The 16782-nt window shown below is 43.7% G+C and overlaps 1 protein-coding gene across 11 annotated transcripts in view, besides 1 other annotated feature; it reads right to left on the bottom strand.

The window, feature by feature from the left end:
• Nucleotides 1-16782, bottom strand: part of TRAF3IP1 (TRAF3 interacting protein 1) — an 80383-nt gene that overhangs the window by 6632 nt on the left and 56969 nt on the right. The gene's annotated exons all lie outside the window — the stretch shown is intronic.
• Nucleotides 10013-10132: an enhancer, noted in NCBI's record as "active region_17382". NCBI's record gives its function as "activates an Ori minimal core promoter by ATAC-STARR-seq in GM12878 lymphoblastoid cells {active_cell/tissue: GM12878}" and the evidence as "EXISTENCE:reporter gene assay evidence [ECO:0000049][PMID:35858748]".

The raw sequence follows: 16782 nt of genomic DNA, 5'->3' as shown, positions 1-16782 counted from the left end.
AATAGCTAAAACATTTTCAGAAAAAGAATAAAGACAGAAATAACCAGTCTACCCAATTTCAAGGCTTTTTTTTGAAACGGAGTCTCACTCTGTCGCCCAGGCTGGAGTGCAGTTGTGTGATCTTGGCTCATTGCAACCTCTGCCTCCCAGATTCAAGCGATTCTCCTGCCTCGGCCTCCCAAGTAGCTGGGATCACAGGCGCACACCAGCATGCCCAGCTAATTTTTGTTTTAGTAGACATGGGATTTCACCATGTTGGCCAGGTTGGTGTCAAACTCCTGAGCTAAGGTGATCCTCCCATCTCGGCCTCCCAAAGTGCTGGGATTACAGGTGTGAGCCACCGCGTAGGCTTCAAGTCTTTTTATACAATTACAGTAATCAAGACAGTGCAGTATTGACAGAGGGACATAGATCAAATGAACAGAACACAGAATCCAAAAGTAGATCCATACGAATATGTCCATATGCCCAAGCAATCTTTGACAAAGGTACAAAAGCAATTTAGTGGCAGAGAGAGCTTTGCACCATTTGGCACTGGGTTAAGTGGACATCCATAAGCCAAAAAACAAACAAAACGTTGACCTAATCTCATATCTTAAACAAAAATTAACTCGAAATGGACTATGGATTTAAATATAATCTATAAAACTTTAAGATAAAAAACACAGGAGGAAAAAGTCTTTGGGATCTAGGACTAGGCAAAGAGTTCGAAGACTTGACACCAAAAGCATGACAAAAATTTCAAATGTTTGCTCTGCGAAAGACCCTGGGAAGAAGCCGCAAAGGTAAGTCACAGAATGAGCAAAAACAACTGCAAATCACACATCCAATAAAGGACTTATAGCTAGAATATGCAAAGAACTCTTAAAACACAACAGCAAGAAAGCAAATAATTCAATTAGAAAATGGGCAAAAGACACATTTCACTGAAGAAGATATAAGGATGGCCAACACACACATGAAAATATGTTTGAAATCATTAGGCATTAGGGAAATGCGAATTCAAACCACAATGAGCCATCACCACACAACAATCAGAATGGCTAAAATAAAAAATAGTGACAACACCAAATGCTGGTTAGGGAAAACTGGATCACTCATTGCTGACAGGAATGTAAAAAGATATGGCCACTCTGGAACACAGTTTGGCAGTTTCCTATAAAACTAAACATGCAACTACAGTATCAACCAACAGTTGTACTCCTGGACACTTATCCAAACAAATGAAAATTCATGTTTATAGAAAAACCTGTATACAAATGCATGCGGATGCTTTAATCAAAGTAGCCACAAACTGGAAACAACCCCCGTGTCCTTCGATAGGTAATTGGTTAACTAAACTGTGGTGCATCCACACCAGGGAAAACTATCTACCAATAAAAAGGAACAGACTGGCCAGGCATGGTGGCTCATGCCTGCAATCCCAGCACTTTGGGAGGCTGAGGCAGGCAGATCACCTGAGGTCAGGAGTTCGAGACCAGCCTGACCAACATGGCAAAACCCCATCTATACTAAAAATACAAAGTTAGCTGGGCGCGGTGGCGCATGCCTGTAATCCCAGCTACTCGGGAGGCTGAGGCAGAAGAATCCCTTGAACCCGGGTGGGGGGGCGAGGTTGCAGTGAGCCGAGATCACGCCATTGCACTCCAGCCTGGGCAACAAGAGCAAAACTCCGTCTCAAGAAAAAAAAAAAAGGAACAGACTGCTAATCCATGGAACAAACTGGATGGCCCTCAGAGGATTAGGAATAAGAAAAGTGAATCCCAAGAGGTTACATGCTGTAGGATTCCTTTTACACAAGATTCTGGAAAGACAAAGTTACAGAAATGGAGAACTGATGGTGGTAGCTGGGGGTGAAGGAAGAGTTCGAGGTGGGGGAAGAGGGTGTGGCTATAAAAAGGCAACAAGAGGGATCTTTGAGGTGATACAAATGTTCTGGATCCTGTTTCATTGTCAATATCCTGGTTGACAATGTACTATGGTTCTGTAAGATGTTATCACTGGGGGAAAGTGGGCAAAAGGCATACAGTATATCTCTATTATTTCTTTTTCTACTATTTTTTCTTTACAGGGTTTCACTGTGTTGCCCAGGCTGAACGCAAACTCCTGGGCTCAAGCGATTCTCCTGCCTCAGCCTGCCAAAGTAGCTGGGGCTACAGGCACGTGCCACCACACCTGGGCGTCTATTATTTCTTATAACTGGATATGAATCTATGGTTATATCAAACGTTTAATTTCTAAAAGGCTATATAAAATGCCTTTAAATTAAGACGCTAAATGACTGAAATGAATTCAATAAAATAAGCTACTTCCCAAGAGAAAAATATATTGTCTTTATTATACACAAATTAGTAAATGTCTCATTGACTTAGTTAAGAAATTCAAACTTCTATTAAAACCCATTCATAATGACTATCAAGTAATTCCTGTGCATTTGGCATCGTGTTAACTCTAATATAAAAATGTTTAGGGCATGGACCTTAAGGTAGGAGACTAATATAAACAAATATCTTACAAAATTGGAGAGTTACAATGTAGAAAAAGACACTAAGAGGTAATCTGGCCAAACTCCTCATATTTCTATTGCACAGGACCAAGCAGAATTTGGAACACTAATCTTAAAGCTTATAATTTATGTTTAAGAGATTAAGACTTTAAAATAAGTACACTTGGGCTGGGATTGTGATAGTCAGGACAGGTTTTATTATTAGCATAAAGGCACTGGAATACATTGCTGCAAAACACCAACACTCTGGCAATTTTCAAGCTTTCATTTAACACAGCAGGGGCAGCGTGAACGCATCAAGCCGTGATTATTTGCTTTAAAAAGCACACCTCTCTGATGACAGACCTCGAGTTATATGTTGCTCATGTAGATATATCAACAATTTTCCAGATAAAAACAACCTTGTTTTTAAAGACTTTTAATCCAATAGTAGTTTGAGGATCTATTACCCCCACACAGGAATTAGATGACTGCCCCTGCTGTGTTAATTATTGAAAATCTGTCATGGCTGGGTGTGTTGGCTCATGCCGGTAATCCCAGCAATTTGGGAGGCTGAGGTGGGCAGATCACTTGAGGCCAGAAATTTGAGACCAGCCTGGCCAACATGGTGAAACCCTGCCTCTACAAAAAAAATACAAAAATTACCAAGGCGTGGTGGTGCACACCTGTAGTCCCAGCTCCTCAGGAGGCTAAGCAGGGAGGATTGCCTGAGCCCAGGAGGAGAAGGTTGCAGTGAGCCAAGACTGTGCCACTGTACTCCAGCCTGGGCAACAGAGCGAAACCCTTTTTTCTCAAAAAAGAAAAAAGAAAAGAAAAGGAAAGGAAATCTGTCATTACACAAAATATGACCTAAAACCACCTAGACCATAGGAGGATTCGGGGGCAGCAGGACCCGCAGTCAGTGCCTTGTGGTTCCAGGGGCTGGTACAACCCAGCCTCACCACCTCCTAACTTTATGACCTTGGAATGACCTCTCTGTACCTCAGCTTCCTCACAAGAAAATGGAAATAATAATATTTATCCTTCAGGTAACATTAAATGGGATAATATAAAGTAAGCAGTTCAGTGCCTCACACATAGTAAACCCTCAAGTAGATGTTAACCATTATCGTAAATTTATTCCCCAGAAAGAAGCAAGTTGCAAGTGCCCCCAGGACAAGGCATGGGTGCTTTTTCCTGTGCACTGATACAGTTATTTTACCTCCTGTCAACTTGTTGGCTATGAAACATTCTTAGCCAGGCATGTTTGGAATACTTTAGCGCACAGTGAAAAAAGTATTTATAGATATTATCAGCACCACCTAACAAGCTGTCATGTCCAGGCAAGTTCTTTCATTAAAATGTAATTTACCTTCCTCATCGACACACTTCCTTCTCCATCTCCATTTTAAGAATATAAATAACCCACAGCTATGAAATTCATCTCAAAGCTCTTTTCTCCGCTGAAAGGTTGGTGATCCTGAGCTCAGAGGAAGTCTGCTGTGAACATCGCAGAACCACCCACGGCACCTTTTTGTGGCACCCTCACCATGGATCCAGTGTCTAAAGGCAGTTTCTCCAAGTTAGGCAAACAGAGAGGTGGCAGCCCACGTGTGTTTCAAGGGGACACAAAGTCACCCCTCTTGTCCCCTCCTGCCTCCTACCTGGCTGGCCTCCCTTTTCCTGCGGGCTAAAGACTGTTTACTCAGCTGCCTTCTGGCAGGAAGGCCTCTGGCAAGGCAGCTCAGCGTTGGGCCACTTCATGTGCTCACGTGCGCACACACTTTTCAGAAAATGCTTCCAAGATTTCTCAAGCGAACAGTTATTTCTGGGACTATTTTATTTGCATTTTACCACACACACACTTGTCCTCAGAAACATGGGCATTTGCACTTCTAGTGATTTTTAAATTTATAGTTATTGATTATAAGTCATATAAATACACATTATTGACCTTAGAGATTTATTTGAATTTCAACTGCAATCCTTCAAGAGAATTATTACTATTATTATTATTATTATTATTATTATTATTTGAGATGGAGTCTCACTCTGTCACCCAGGCTGGAGTACAGTGGTGCAATCTCAGCTCATTGCAACCTCCACCTCCCAGGTTCAAGAGATTCTTCTGCCTCAGCCTCCCAAGTAGTTGAGATTACAGGTGCCTGCTACCACATCTGGCTAATTTCTGTATTTTTAGTAGAGATGGGGTTTCACCATGTTGGTCAGGCTGGTCTTGAACTCCTGACCTCAAGTGATCTACCCACCTTGGCCTCCCAAAGTGCTGGGATTACAGATGTGAGCCACTGCACCCGGCCAAAAGTATTATTTTTAAAATATCTTAAAATAAAATTTAAAAAATGAAGATGGAAATAATAGACACTGAGTACTCCAAAATGCGGGAGGGTTGGGAGGGGGAGGGTTGAAAAATTACCCACTGGGTGCAACATTCACTACTGGGTGATGGGTACACGAGAAGCCAAGTCCCTACCCATTAACAAGCATGCCCATGTACCCCCAAATCTAAAACAAAATAAAATGTAAAAAAAAATGTCTCAGAAGTCTGGTCTTTAATGCTGCCAGAAGTCCCTCTCGGAAGCAGGATCCAGGGCACATGGGAATGGAGGCCTCTGACCGCTGCCCTGCCCCGCTGCTGGATGTGACTGCTCAGCCACACTCCTGAGCAGAGCTCTACCCGACATTAAGCAAACCCAATAAACAAAAGCCTGATTAATTGTAGGGTGGGGAGGTGGGCAATAAATCAAAAGAGTATGTATTTGCTTCAAATAACATACTCTCTCATGACCTCAGGAATTGATTTATATGCAACCTGTCAAAAGTTTGTTTTCTAGGCTGGGCGCAGTGGCTCACGCTGTAATGCCAGCACTTTGGAAGGCCAAGGCGGGCAGATGGCTTGAGCCCAGGAGTTTGAAACCAGCCTGGACAACGTGGTGAAACTCCATCTCTATAAAAAATTATCCAGGCATAGTGGTGCATGTTTGTGGTCCTGGCTACCTAGGAGGCTGAGGTGGGAAGATTGCTTGAGCCCAGGATGCAGAGGTTACAGTGAGCCAAGATGATGCCCTTGAGCCCAGGAGGTCGAGGATGTAGTGAGCTGAGATCACGCCATTGCACTCCAGCCTGGGCAACAGAGCAGGACTCTGTCTCAAAAAAAAAAAAAAAAAAAAAAGTTGTGTTCTTCATAAACAGAGGAATACCTGCATTCAATTTACAAAAGAAAAGCACAGAATGACTGAATAATTATTCTAAGTGTCCTGTTCATCCAGAAATATTCCATCACCAAACTTCTTCATAAACCATATGTTCATCTCGAATGTAGGTCAAGTTGGATCCCTTGAACACACAAGCAAAACAGCCTGCAAACACATCCTTTTTTTTTTTTTTTTTTGAGACAGGGTCTCCCTCTGTCCCTCAGGCTGGAGTGCAGTGGCGCGATCTCAGCTCACTGCAACTTCCGCCTCCCCAGTTCAAGTGATTCTCCTGCCTCAGCCTCCCGAGTAGCTGGGATTATAGGCACGCATCATCACGCCAGGCTAATTTTTGTATTTTTTGTAGAGACGTGGTTTCACCATGTTGACCAGGCTAGTCTTGAACTCCTGACCTCAAGTGATCCACCCACCTTGGCCCCCACAAAGTGTTGGGATAACAGGCATAAGCCACCGGACCCGACTAATTTTTTGAGACAGAGTCTTGTTCTGTCACCCAGGCTGGAATGCAGTGGTGCAATCACAGCTCACTGCAGCCTTGGACTTCTAAGCTTAATAATCCTTCCATCTCAGCCTCCCAAGTAGCTGGGATACAGGTGTGCACCACCATGCCTGGCTAATTTTTTTAATTTTTTACTTTTGCAGAAACAAGGTCTTGCTATGTTGCCCAGGCTGGTCTTGAACTCCTGGCCTCAAGTGATCCTCCTCTTTAGATCTCAAAGCATTGGGATTACAGGCATGAGCCATCATGCCCAGCCTCAAAATTATGTTTAAGAATCAACCATGTTACATGTATTTTGTTCATTTGCGTTTCTGAATAGTGTTTTATTATATGAATGAAATACCACTATTCATCCATTCTGCCACTGACGGACAACATTTGGGTTATTTTTTTTGTCTAGGGCTATTACAAAAAAATACAACTCTGAATAATCTTATATATGTCCCAATAGAGATGAGCACGTGACTGTCGGGTATGCAACAGGAAGTGGCATTACTGGGTCAAAGGGTGTGTGTTCTCAACTTTATGATGTAATGCCAAACCGTTTTCATATAGTTTTAGAAATTTACATCAACTATTTTTCATTAATCACTATCTTATTTCTAGGCTATAAAGGAAGCTTTAGCTCTACTCCCATGCCATTTCTACAATCTGACAACTGAAGATAATAACTACTGAACTGTTATCTGGCAGCAGCTAGAAAACTGCTACTCCAAGTCAGGAATAGGCTGTTAAAAGGAGCCTTCCAAATAACAGACCGCTGCTCATTAGACGAATTACTTACATCTACTTACACATGGGTGGTAAGCCTTTAGCATGGATGTATGAGAAGCTGGACAGGATGAGGGCTAACTGCCCAGACCGGGGCCCAACAGATCTGGGGTAGCTCCTACCTTTGGGACTTACTGTCTGTATCATCTTGGACTAGGTAACTTTTGTGCCTCATTTTCCTAACCTAGCAAATGGGTGTAACGCCTGTCTCATCTGTAGGTGACTGTATTAAATAAAACATGCAATTCCTTAGTCATGGTAAGTGCTCTATAAATGTTAGCTGTTAGAATAATTATATTGTCTATAATGAATAATTATTAATGGTAAATTTCTATAGGAGAAAAAATGCATACAGAGCAAAATATCATTAAATGTTAGCTACTTTTACAGATAAACGTGAATGGCCTTGGAAGATGAATGAGAAACCCTCTTAGAATTATGTGTTAAGCCAGCGTAAGTGAGCTTGGCATGAGCCCCAATGGGTCACTGTGGTCAAGGCAAAAGATCAGAACACAAAACAGAGAAATCTTCAAACTGGCCTTTCTGATGGACCTTAAAATGGTCTGAAAATTGATTTTATGAGTTGGGTTATTCTTGTCATACCCAACTAAACCAGAGATAGGGTTGAGGGGAAAAAGCACTCAGGGCATCTGCTTCAAGAGTTAAATTTTGGCCGGGCTCAGTGGCTCACGCTTGTAATCCCAGCACTTTAGGAGGCCCAGGTGGGCAGATCACCTGAGGTCAGGAGTTCAAGACCAGCCTGGTCAACATGGTGAAACCCCGTCTCTACTAAAAATACAAAAATTAGCCAGGCATGGTGGCGCACACCTGTAGTCCCAGCTACTTGGGAGGCTGAGGCAGGAGAATCGCTTGAACCTGGGAGGCGGAGGTTGCAGTGAGCCAAAATCACACCACTGCACGCTAGCCTGGGAGACAGAGTGAGACTCTGTCACAAAAATAAAAATAAAAAAATGTTTAAGAGTTATATTTTTCAGAAGCCCAGTTGCTGACACAGCCTGCTGTAACTCTAAGACCAGTTTTACCTAGAAGCCACTGAAACAACCCTCTGTGACTCTAAGACCGGCTTTACCTACCACTGTCACTCACCAATCCCAGCTTGCCAGCTCCCCAAAACTTTTCTAGTGCCAATGAGTTTTCTTCCAAGACAATACGTAACCTTTCTCTTTCTGATAAAACTCCCAACCTGCTCTGTTCTTCAGACATACCGAAGACCATCTGGTCTGCATGTATACCCCAAATTGTAATTCTTTCTTCCCGAATAAAATGTTTTAAATTTCAAGATTTGTCTCTATATTTTATTTGACTTCGACAAGGGAAATATTTATTGAAATCACCTGTTCACTGAAGGGTGACAGACTATCCCACCCAAAAATATGCTACTTTGGCAGGAGCATTATTTTGAGCTAAAGGCACTTAAAAAACAGCGGTGCAAGAAGGCCAGTCTGACTTCCCCCTTTCTTCTTAAAAGCAGGTGATGAAACTCCCATGTAGGAGATGCCCTCCTTGCACCAAAAGGAAAGAAACATTCTCATCACCAGAGGTGGGTTTGAGGCCAAAAGAATACTGTACAAACAGACTTAGCAGTCCACGGAAAAACTGGCTTTCACGAAACCAGTCCCTGGTAGCAAAAAGGTTGGGGACCACTGTTGTAGAATATCTAAATAGGGTCATGGTACCCACCCTTGTTCCTGACTGTAGTAGAAATATCTCCAGCCACTCACTATTACATACGATGTTGACTGTTGACACAGGTGTTTTCTCTCTCTCATGAAAAAGAAGTAGTTTTCTATTCCTAGTTCATTACAGGTTTTCAGTATAATGGATATTGAATTTTACATGAGTCATTTATTTTTAAGAGAAAGTACACTGACTAGTGATTTTATCCGGTTCAGGAATAATTTCTTGGTTAAATGTAAGGTAAGTAGTCAACACTTAAACGATGCTACAGGCCAGGCGCAGCGGTTCACGCCTGTAATCCCAGCACTTTGGGAGGCCGAGGCGGGCGGATCACGAGGTCAGGAGATCGAGACCATCCTGGCTAACACGGTGAAACCCCTGTCTCTACTAAAAATACAAAAAATTAGCCGGGCGTGGTGGCAGGCACCTGTAGTCCCAGCTACTCGGGAGGCTGAGGCAGGAGAATGGCATGAACCCGGGAGGCGGAGATTGCAGTGAGCCGAGATCGCACCATTGCACTCCAGCCTGGGGGACAGAGCGAGAGTCCATCTCAAAAAAAAATAAAGAAAGAAAGAAAAATAAAAAGCTACAACTGACTTGAATTTCTTAACTGAAATGACTGACTCTTCCCTGGCCATGGCTACATGAAGAAGGAAAAAATACTGGAGAAACTACTAAGGGAACTAGTCACAAATACATTTATCTATTAGGAAACAGAGTTTCGATCCTAGAATATATTCTATCTCACTTTTGATTATATAATAAAATACATGCTTTAGGAAAAAATTACTAGCAATTCTTAACCTTTTGTTCAAATTTCTTCATCTTTGCTGAAATGAAATCTCTAAACTCCATTCTAGCCATAGAGTTTTAGGATTCTGTAATCCTTTTTAAAGGACATCAGGCCAGGCGTGGTGGCTCACGCCTGTAATCCCAGCACTTTGGGAGGCTGAGGCGGGCAGATCACAAGGTCAGGAGCTCAAGACCAGCCTGGCCAACATGGTAAAACGTATTTAAAAAAAAAATACAAAAAAAAAAAAAAAAAATTAGCCAGGCGGGGTGGCATGCATCTGTAATCCCAGCTACTCCAGAGGCTGAGGCAGGAGAATTACTTAAACCCAGGAGGCAGAGGTTGCAGTAAGCCAAGATCACACCACTGCACCCCAGCCTGGCCAACAGAGCAAGACTCCATATATATATATATACATACATACATACATACATACATACATACATACATACATACATCAGGTTGATTCTGGACAGATTAGAAAAGGAGAAACCAGACTAGCAAACAAGTGTAAAACAGAACAAAAGATCAGAGGCAACTGTTGTCAGCCGTGGGCGGAGGCAGCATACAAGTGAGAGCCCCGAGACAAGGGACACTCAGGAGGCCAGCCCACGAGTGCCCCAGATCTTGTGTGGGGATGACAGCCTGACCAGGGCACAGAGCTGAGTCTACATGGAGGAGCATGAGGGTGCCACTGAGCCAAGGAGGATGCATCCAGATGGGGGGGGCCCTGCAAGACCACAGCTGAATCAGAGAACAAGCCAGTGGACAAAATGTAGTAGAAAACTAACAAATAGTCAACCCCAAAGACGGCAGTAAATAAGCAAAAGAGGAACAAAAACCATAAGGGGAGATATGTGAAACAAGGAGCAAGATGACAGACTTAAGCCTCCCTATATCAACAACTGCACTAAGTGTAAACGGACTAAATTAGAACACCATGCAAAGAATAACAACAGGAATTCACAAAAAGAGAAATGCAACTAGCACAAACAAAAAGTTATTCACCTCAATTTGCAACATGAAAAGTAATAAAACGGGTTTAGCTCCTAGCAAGGAATCCAAAATCAATTAAGATGTCCAGTGTTTGCTAGAATGAGGAAATGAACACATTCAGGTATGGGACAGAAAGATGTTGACAATCTAGACGACCCAAGATTCTACTTCTGAGATTTACCTTAGGAAACGTTAGAGAGGTGCTAAAAAATACGTGGGCAAGATTTTTCATCTCAGCATTTCTAATTATAGCAAAAGCCTGTAAGCACACCAGCACCAAAGTCAGCAGGGGCCTAGGGAAACGCCACGGTGTATCTGTGCAGTGGGACAGTGAGCATTCACCTGTTGGATGATGACTGACAGACTCAATGCAGATTGTTCATTAATAGGTAGTTTCCAAAGGCCTATGCTGGACAGCACCACTATGTGCAGCCACACACTCACAGCACTTACTGAGCACCTACTGTGTGCCAGGGCCCGGGCCCACTGCCCTTGGGACTCTCACAATCTAGTCAGAAAAGAGACCCGCAAGTTTGATTCAAGTTGCCGAGACACCAAGGAGATGGGGGAATGGAAGAGGAGCCCCACACAGTCTGGGTGGTAGGAGACTGCCTGGAGGGCAGCCTACAGCAGGTGGGCCTATAGTGGGTGAGTATTCCAGACAAAGGGGAGAGCTGGGTGCAGACTTCCTCAGAGGTGAAAACCACCAGCAGGTTCCGGAAGCCAAGGGAAGGCTGCAGGCTGGAGGACAGTGTGTAGAGACAGGCAGGGAGGTGGCTGGAGCCCGAGAGTGGTGAGGATTTCGGACTTGATCCTATGGGCGATAAAAAGCCAACAAAGGGATTTCAGGAGCACAGAAACCTAATGAGATCAAAGTTTTAATAAAAACACGTGGCTTCCAACTTGGGGGAGAGAGAGAGGAGGCAACGAGGCTCTTGTGACCAACCGTCCAGGGAACTGATGAAGGCAGGAGAGGGTGGCAGCAGGACTAGAGAGAAGCATGCAGGCTTCTTGCTTTATGAGAGATGGAGGGGCAGGGAGGGAGGGGTGGGACTCTCTTGAGCAACTTGGGGGACAGTGATGCCCTATGCTGAGCCAGCAAAGGAGGTCTGTCTGGGAGGAAGCTGGTGACACTCGACTGTGAGCTGCTGAGCCTCAGACATCTATGGGGTGCCAAGGGAAGACGTGCCGCTCCCAGGAAAAGGCCTGCCTGGAGGCAGACATCCACATGTCCCTCATCCTCCCCGACCTGCTGATCTGAACACACCATTTCACTGCCTCCAGATGCAAATGACAACTTAAGCTGCTATATAAAGTTCTTCTGTTGCAATGTTTCCTTTACAATCGTGAAATTTTTCTGGATTCTTTCAACATTTAATGTTGCAAAAGTTTGTGGTCAATCTGATTTTTGTTCTTTTATCAGCTTTTTTGGCTGGGTCCTTTGCAGAGCTCTTTTCTTATCCTTGACAGTCAACGATTCCACCAGGATGTGTCTCAGTATCATATTGGTACTTTTTAGCTGACACTCAGGGAGTGCCTTCCTGTCTGCATACTCAGGTCTTCCATGCAGGAGAACCACTGTGGCATCTGTTTCGCCTGTTTTCGTATCCTCCTTATGAATGCCAACCATCACACCCGGGCTCTCTGTCCCCTTTCTGTCATCTCCTCTCTCACATGTCCCCATGGCTTTGGTGTTTCCTCCTTCATATTCTGGAAAGGCTTCTCAAGTTTGCCCCAAACATCACTGGTTGCTTATTCTGTTGTGTCGATTCTGCTTCTTTACGGCTTCAGGTAAATACTTTGTTCCTCTGATCACATCCGTGTGCTTCTGTAACAGTCCCTCCTTGACTCAGCGCGCTCCTCTTCCCCATCTGTGGCTTCCTACCCGCCAGCCCCTTTCCTTCTCAGCCTGTCTTCATGTCATTTTTTTGCTTTTCGCTTAATCATTGGCATTTTTTAAATTCGTAGAGCATGATGAACATATTTACAGAAGTATCCCACCCCATGCCCACGATGAGCTTTCCTCAAAGGTCCCCGTCAGTTCTGCTCACGTGAGGTGCTTCATGAACCCTCTCTCTGCTCACTACCTGTAACAGTGGTGCAAATGAATGTTTATACCCATTTTCGAGGATCCCATCAGGGACAAGTGCAGGGCAGTGGCCCATCAGGGTGGTGTCTACAAGGGAACTTTGGTCCATCTCTCTTCAGTGACTGGAGGAGCCCCTGGCCAGCATCCTTCCACACAGTGCTGCTTGCAGGCACAGGACTGGCCCCCACCTTCCCGGCCTCCAGCGTGGTGGCAAGCCTGCCTGAACCTGGGAGTTCCTCAGGGCCCACTTCCAAATGCCACTGAGCCACAGCAGGGAACAAGAATCAAAGAGCACCCCACCCGCCACCCATGCCTATGGCCCCCTCCAAGGGTGTCAGTGGGGTTCAGTGGGCCCTACAGGCCCTCCTCGAATCCAGCCCCATCTGCAAGTCCCAAAGAAACTTTTCTAAAGTTTCTGGAATGCGGGTGCAACCCTCACTGGTTTTTGCCCCATTTTTATGTTCCATTCATTTCACTGGGATTCTGAGAGGGGGAAGATAAACTTGGGTTCAAGCTACCCTAGCTGACCCAGGAGTTCCATGGAAACAGAATTCTGAAAAAAAAAAAAATAAATAAATAAATAATTAAAAAAAAAAAAACCCAAGCATCCTACCCAAATCCCGTCATTGTGGCAAGAAAAATAGTTGCTATTCTGTAAATAGGACAGATGAAGCCTTTTGAGAGTATCCTCAGGAAACCAAAACAAATGAGTCAGACTCAATAGAGATCTGGAAAAACTGGTTTCAAGCACTCAAAAGAACTTAAGTCTCTATGGAAGATATTCCCAGGAAGGATCCTTGCTCTCCATCTTTGTTTTATGGCTACAGCACTCACATTTAAACATTGACTCACACACCTTCATGAAAATGAAGGTTGCTAACATGCTTTTACCTCATTTTCTTGCATTCTTCTAATCACTTTACAACAGTGTTTCTGTTATTTTGATTTTTCAGGAGTTCAAAGACAAAAAGGTGTGATGCAGGCATTTCCTTTAAAATATTGTTGGGGTCATCTCACCTTGGGGCCGGGGGTGAATCACAGGTAACTGAGGCTGCTCAGGGTGAGGCTGAGCTCAGGAAGAGCAGGATCTGCTTCTTCCACAACAGCCTGGAAACAAGCCTCCAAGTCCATCCACATGCTCGAGAAGAAGATGCTGTGAGTGGCCGGGCTGGGCCACTGGGTCGGGCAGCAGTGCATGTTTCCTATCGGTTAGGGGGATACTGCAAGATCTGCCTCAACTGCAGAGCTTCCTGTTCAAATTAGCCAAATCCAAGAGGACACCCCCACCACTCAGGGACCCGGGGGAGAGGACCTTCCCTTCCTGGGCATGAAGACACCATATTTTCTGGGTTTAACAGGATCAGTCGTTGTGCACAGGAACCAAAGGGCCCAGGTAAGCAGCTTCTCCACGTGGCTCCTGCAGGGCTCAGAGAGGCCCTCTGAGAAGCTGGAAGGCACCGTAGGGATCCAGCTGCATACGAAGTCACCTGGGGAGCAATTTTACACCCAGCGCCAGCACCTGCCCAGAGACTGATCCTAATTGAGAGGGGAGGGGCCTGGGCACCAGCATTTCAGAAACACTCTCTGAATGGTTCTAATACGTAGACGTCTCTGAGCAGATGAACCTCTAAGCAAATTTCAAAGGACATAAGGTTGTAAAGTTCACTTTCTCTACATTTTAGAATCCCTTTCCATCTCATAGGCAGCAGCAGCAAAAGAATCTAAGTTTTAAAATGGACTTTAAAATTGTCTTTCTCCATCAATGCTGGAAATGGCCAGTGAGGTGATTATTCAATTATTTTGTTTTTTATTTCCACCTCTGTACTAACTAATTGGATTTGCTATTTTAAATGTCTTACTAAAATATTAATCATTTTCTATTGAGCCTATTGCTACAGTATTTCCTTATCATTCTGGCTCCAGTGTTATTATTACACATTTTGCCTTCTAAATTCTTAACATATTTAATCACTCCAAAAATACCAGCTATAAAAGGTAGTTACTGGGCAACAAGAGACCCACTGAACTGAATGGCTGGCATGTGAGCGGGGGAGGAAACCACCGTCTAAACCTGCAGCAGGAAGTGGCCATGAGGTCAGAGGTCCTCGGCAGAAAACACGTGTCACAGAATTAATTATGAATAGAAGAAGTGAGTCTAAGGACTGGATGAGCAAAGGAAAATTCACATACAGGATGGTCAAGTTCCAAATACCCAAGTGATGGCACCACGCTGCCGCCTTCACACGAGCAGGTGTCTGTGGCTGCCAAGGCAGACAGAATAAGGAGTTCTGCTGAAGCTGGCACTCCTCACTCTTCCCTCCACCAGCATCCTGACAGCCAGCTGCATGGTCTCAGTCAGTCGCATGGTCTCAGTCAGTGACCAATGCTGTGAGGATAGCAGAGCCCGGGTCAGAGATGGTGAGTGTGCGGCTGAGGCCCCACACAGCTAGGTGGACAGGAAAGGCCTCTCTGAAGAGGAGACTCGTGGGCAGGGACTTAAATGGGGTGGGGGTTGTCCGGCCCGAGAGACCAGCAGCCTCCAGGTAACCTTGGACTGCAAGAAAACAGGCCCCCAGTGACACACAGACGACCAAAGAGTGAGTCGACAGGAAACAAGGAGAACAAGTCTGGGGTTCCGCTGAGCACCTGACACAGGGCGGCTGCATCAGCATCAGCGCCAGGCTGCCTGAGGTGGGGACCGAACGCTGAGTCCCACAGAGGGCACCAAAGAAGGACTGGACCCTCCCTCTGGGGCCTTTCTACTCCTGACCCACCTCCCCTGAAGGCAAGAGCAGAAGCAACCTGGTACTGGTCAGCAAAGACTGACCGCAAAACCACTTGAGTGCCTCATGGTATTGGGTTTGCAAGTGATGGTAAGAGGCTTCTGACCCAGCAGCCTGGGGCCTGGGGGGGGGTCCCGGCTTCAGATCAAACTGCGAAGAAAGTGCCCAGCCTCAAAGTTCCCTTAACCCAGATCACCCATCAGACTTAAACTGTTCTAGGGCCCAGGAAAAAACGCAGGGTCCCAAATTAATTTTATAAAATGGACATAACCTTGATTCTAAAACCTAAACACAAACTCTCTCTCTCTCTCTCTCAAACTCCAGGCCAATTCCACTTTAATATAGAGATGAAGTTCTATTTTTAAATGTCAGCAAATTAAATATAGTTTTATATTGGGTAAATAATAGATGATGGCCAGGCAAAGGTTATTTGAGGTGTGTAAGAACTGTTCAACATTAGGAAGTCTATTAATATAGGAACATCTCAACAGCTGCCAAAAAGACAGTTGTTAACCTTGTCATTCGTTTCTGACTGAATGCCGAGAACAGTGCCTAGCACATGGCAGGTGCCAGATGGCTGGTGAATGAATGAATGCTAACTTTTAAAACATGATAATTTATAGTCATAAAACAAGTTTCCATTAGATTCTTAAAAGGCTAAATAAAAACTAGTAACTTAGGTGTCCAACTTAATAAATTTAAAAAGAAAAATAGTAGAGAAGGAAGAAAATTTAAATAAAACTGGAGATATCAATGAAAAGAAAAACAAAGATTAAAAAGAGAACAACAAAGCCAAAAGCCAGTGGTTTAGACAGACAGACAAATTTCTGGAAAAATATATTTAAAAAAAGAAAAATGCCTAAGTAAGTAATATTGGTTAAAACAAACAAACAAAAAACAAACAAACAAACAAAAACTAAACTAAACTAAACTACATCCAGAGCAAATATTAAAGAGTTCTAGCAAGAGCTTTTTTCCAATAAGCTTGAAAATTTTCAAAAAACTGACAGTCAAAATGGACTCGAAAACACATTTTAAAAAGCCTGAATACTCTCATAATTAATACAAAAATGAAAACAATGGTTTAAGTATTTCCCACAAAGAAACACCAAGCTCAGGTGGTTTTACATGTGAAGCTGTCAAATTGTCAAGAAATACATTCCAATCATATACAATCTCTTCCAGAACAGATAAAAACAAAGAATATCCTCAATTCATTCTTGACCTTGGTACTAAAAAAAATAAGGATCATACAAGAAAAACAAAATTATGGGTCCATTTCATTCATGAATATAAATGGAAAAATACTAATTAGCAACTAGACTCTTAACAGTGGATTAAAAATAATAATAATATACCATAATTGATTTGATCCAAGGAATGTAAAGACTGTTTCATATTAGAAAAGCTACAATCATATAGTGAATTAAGGAATATAATA

The sequence above is a fragment of the Homo sapiens genome, chromosome 2, assembly GCF_000001405.40.
Source record: "Homo sapiens chromosome 2, GRCh38.p14 Primary Assembly".
NCBI lineage: Eukaryota > Metazoa > Chordata > Mammalia > Primates > Hominidae > Homo > Homo sapiens.
The sequence above is the reverse complement of the archived record's forward strand: the minus strand, read 5'-3'. Positions and strand labels throughout refer to the sequence as shown.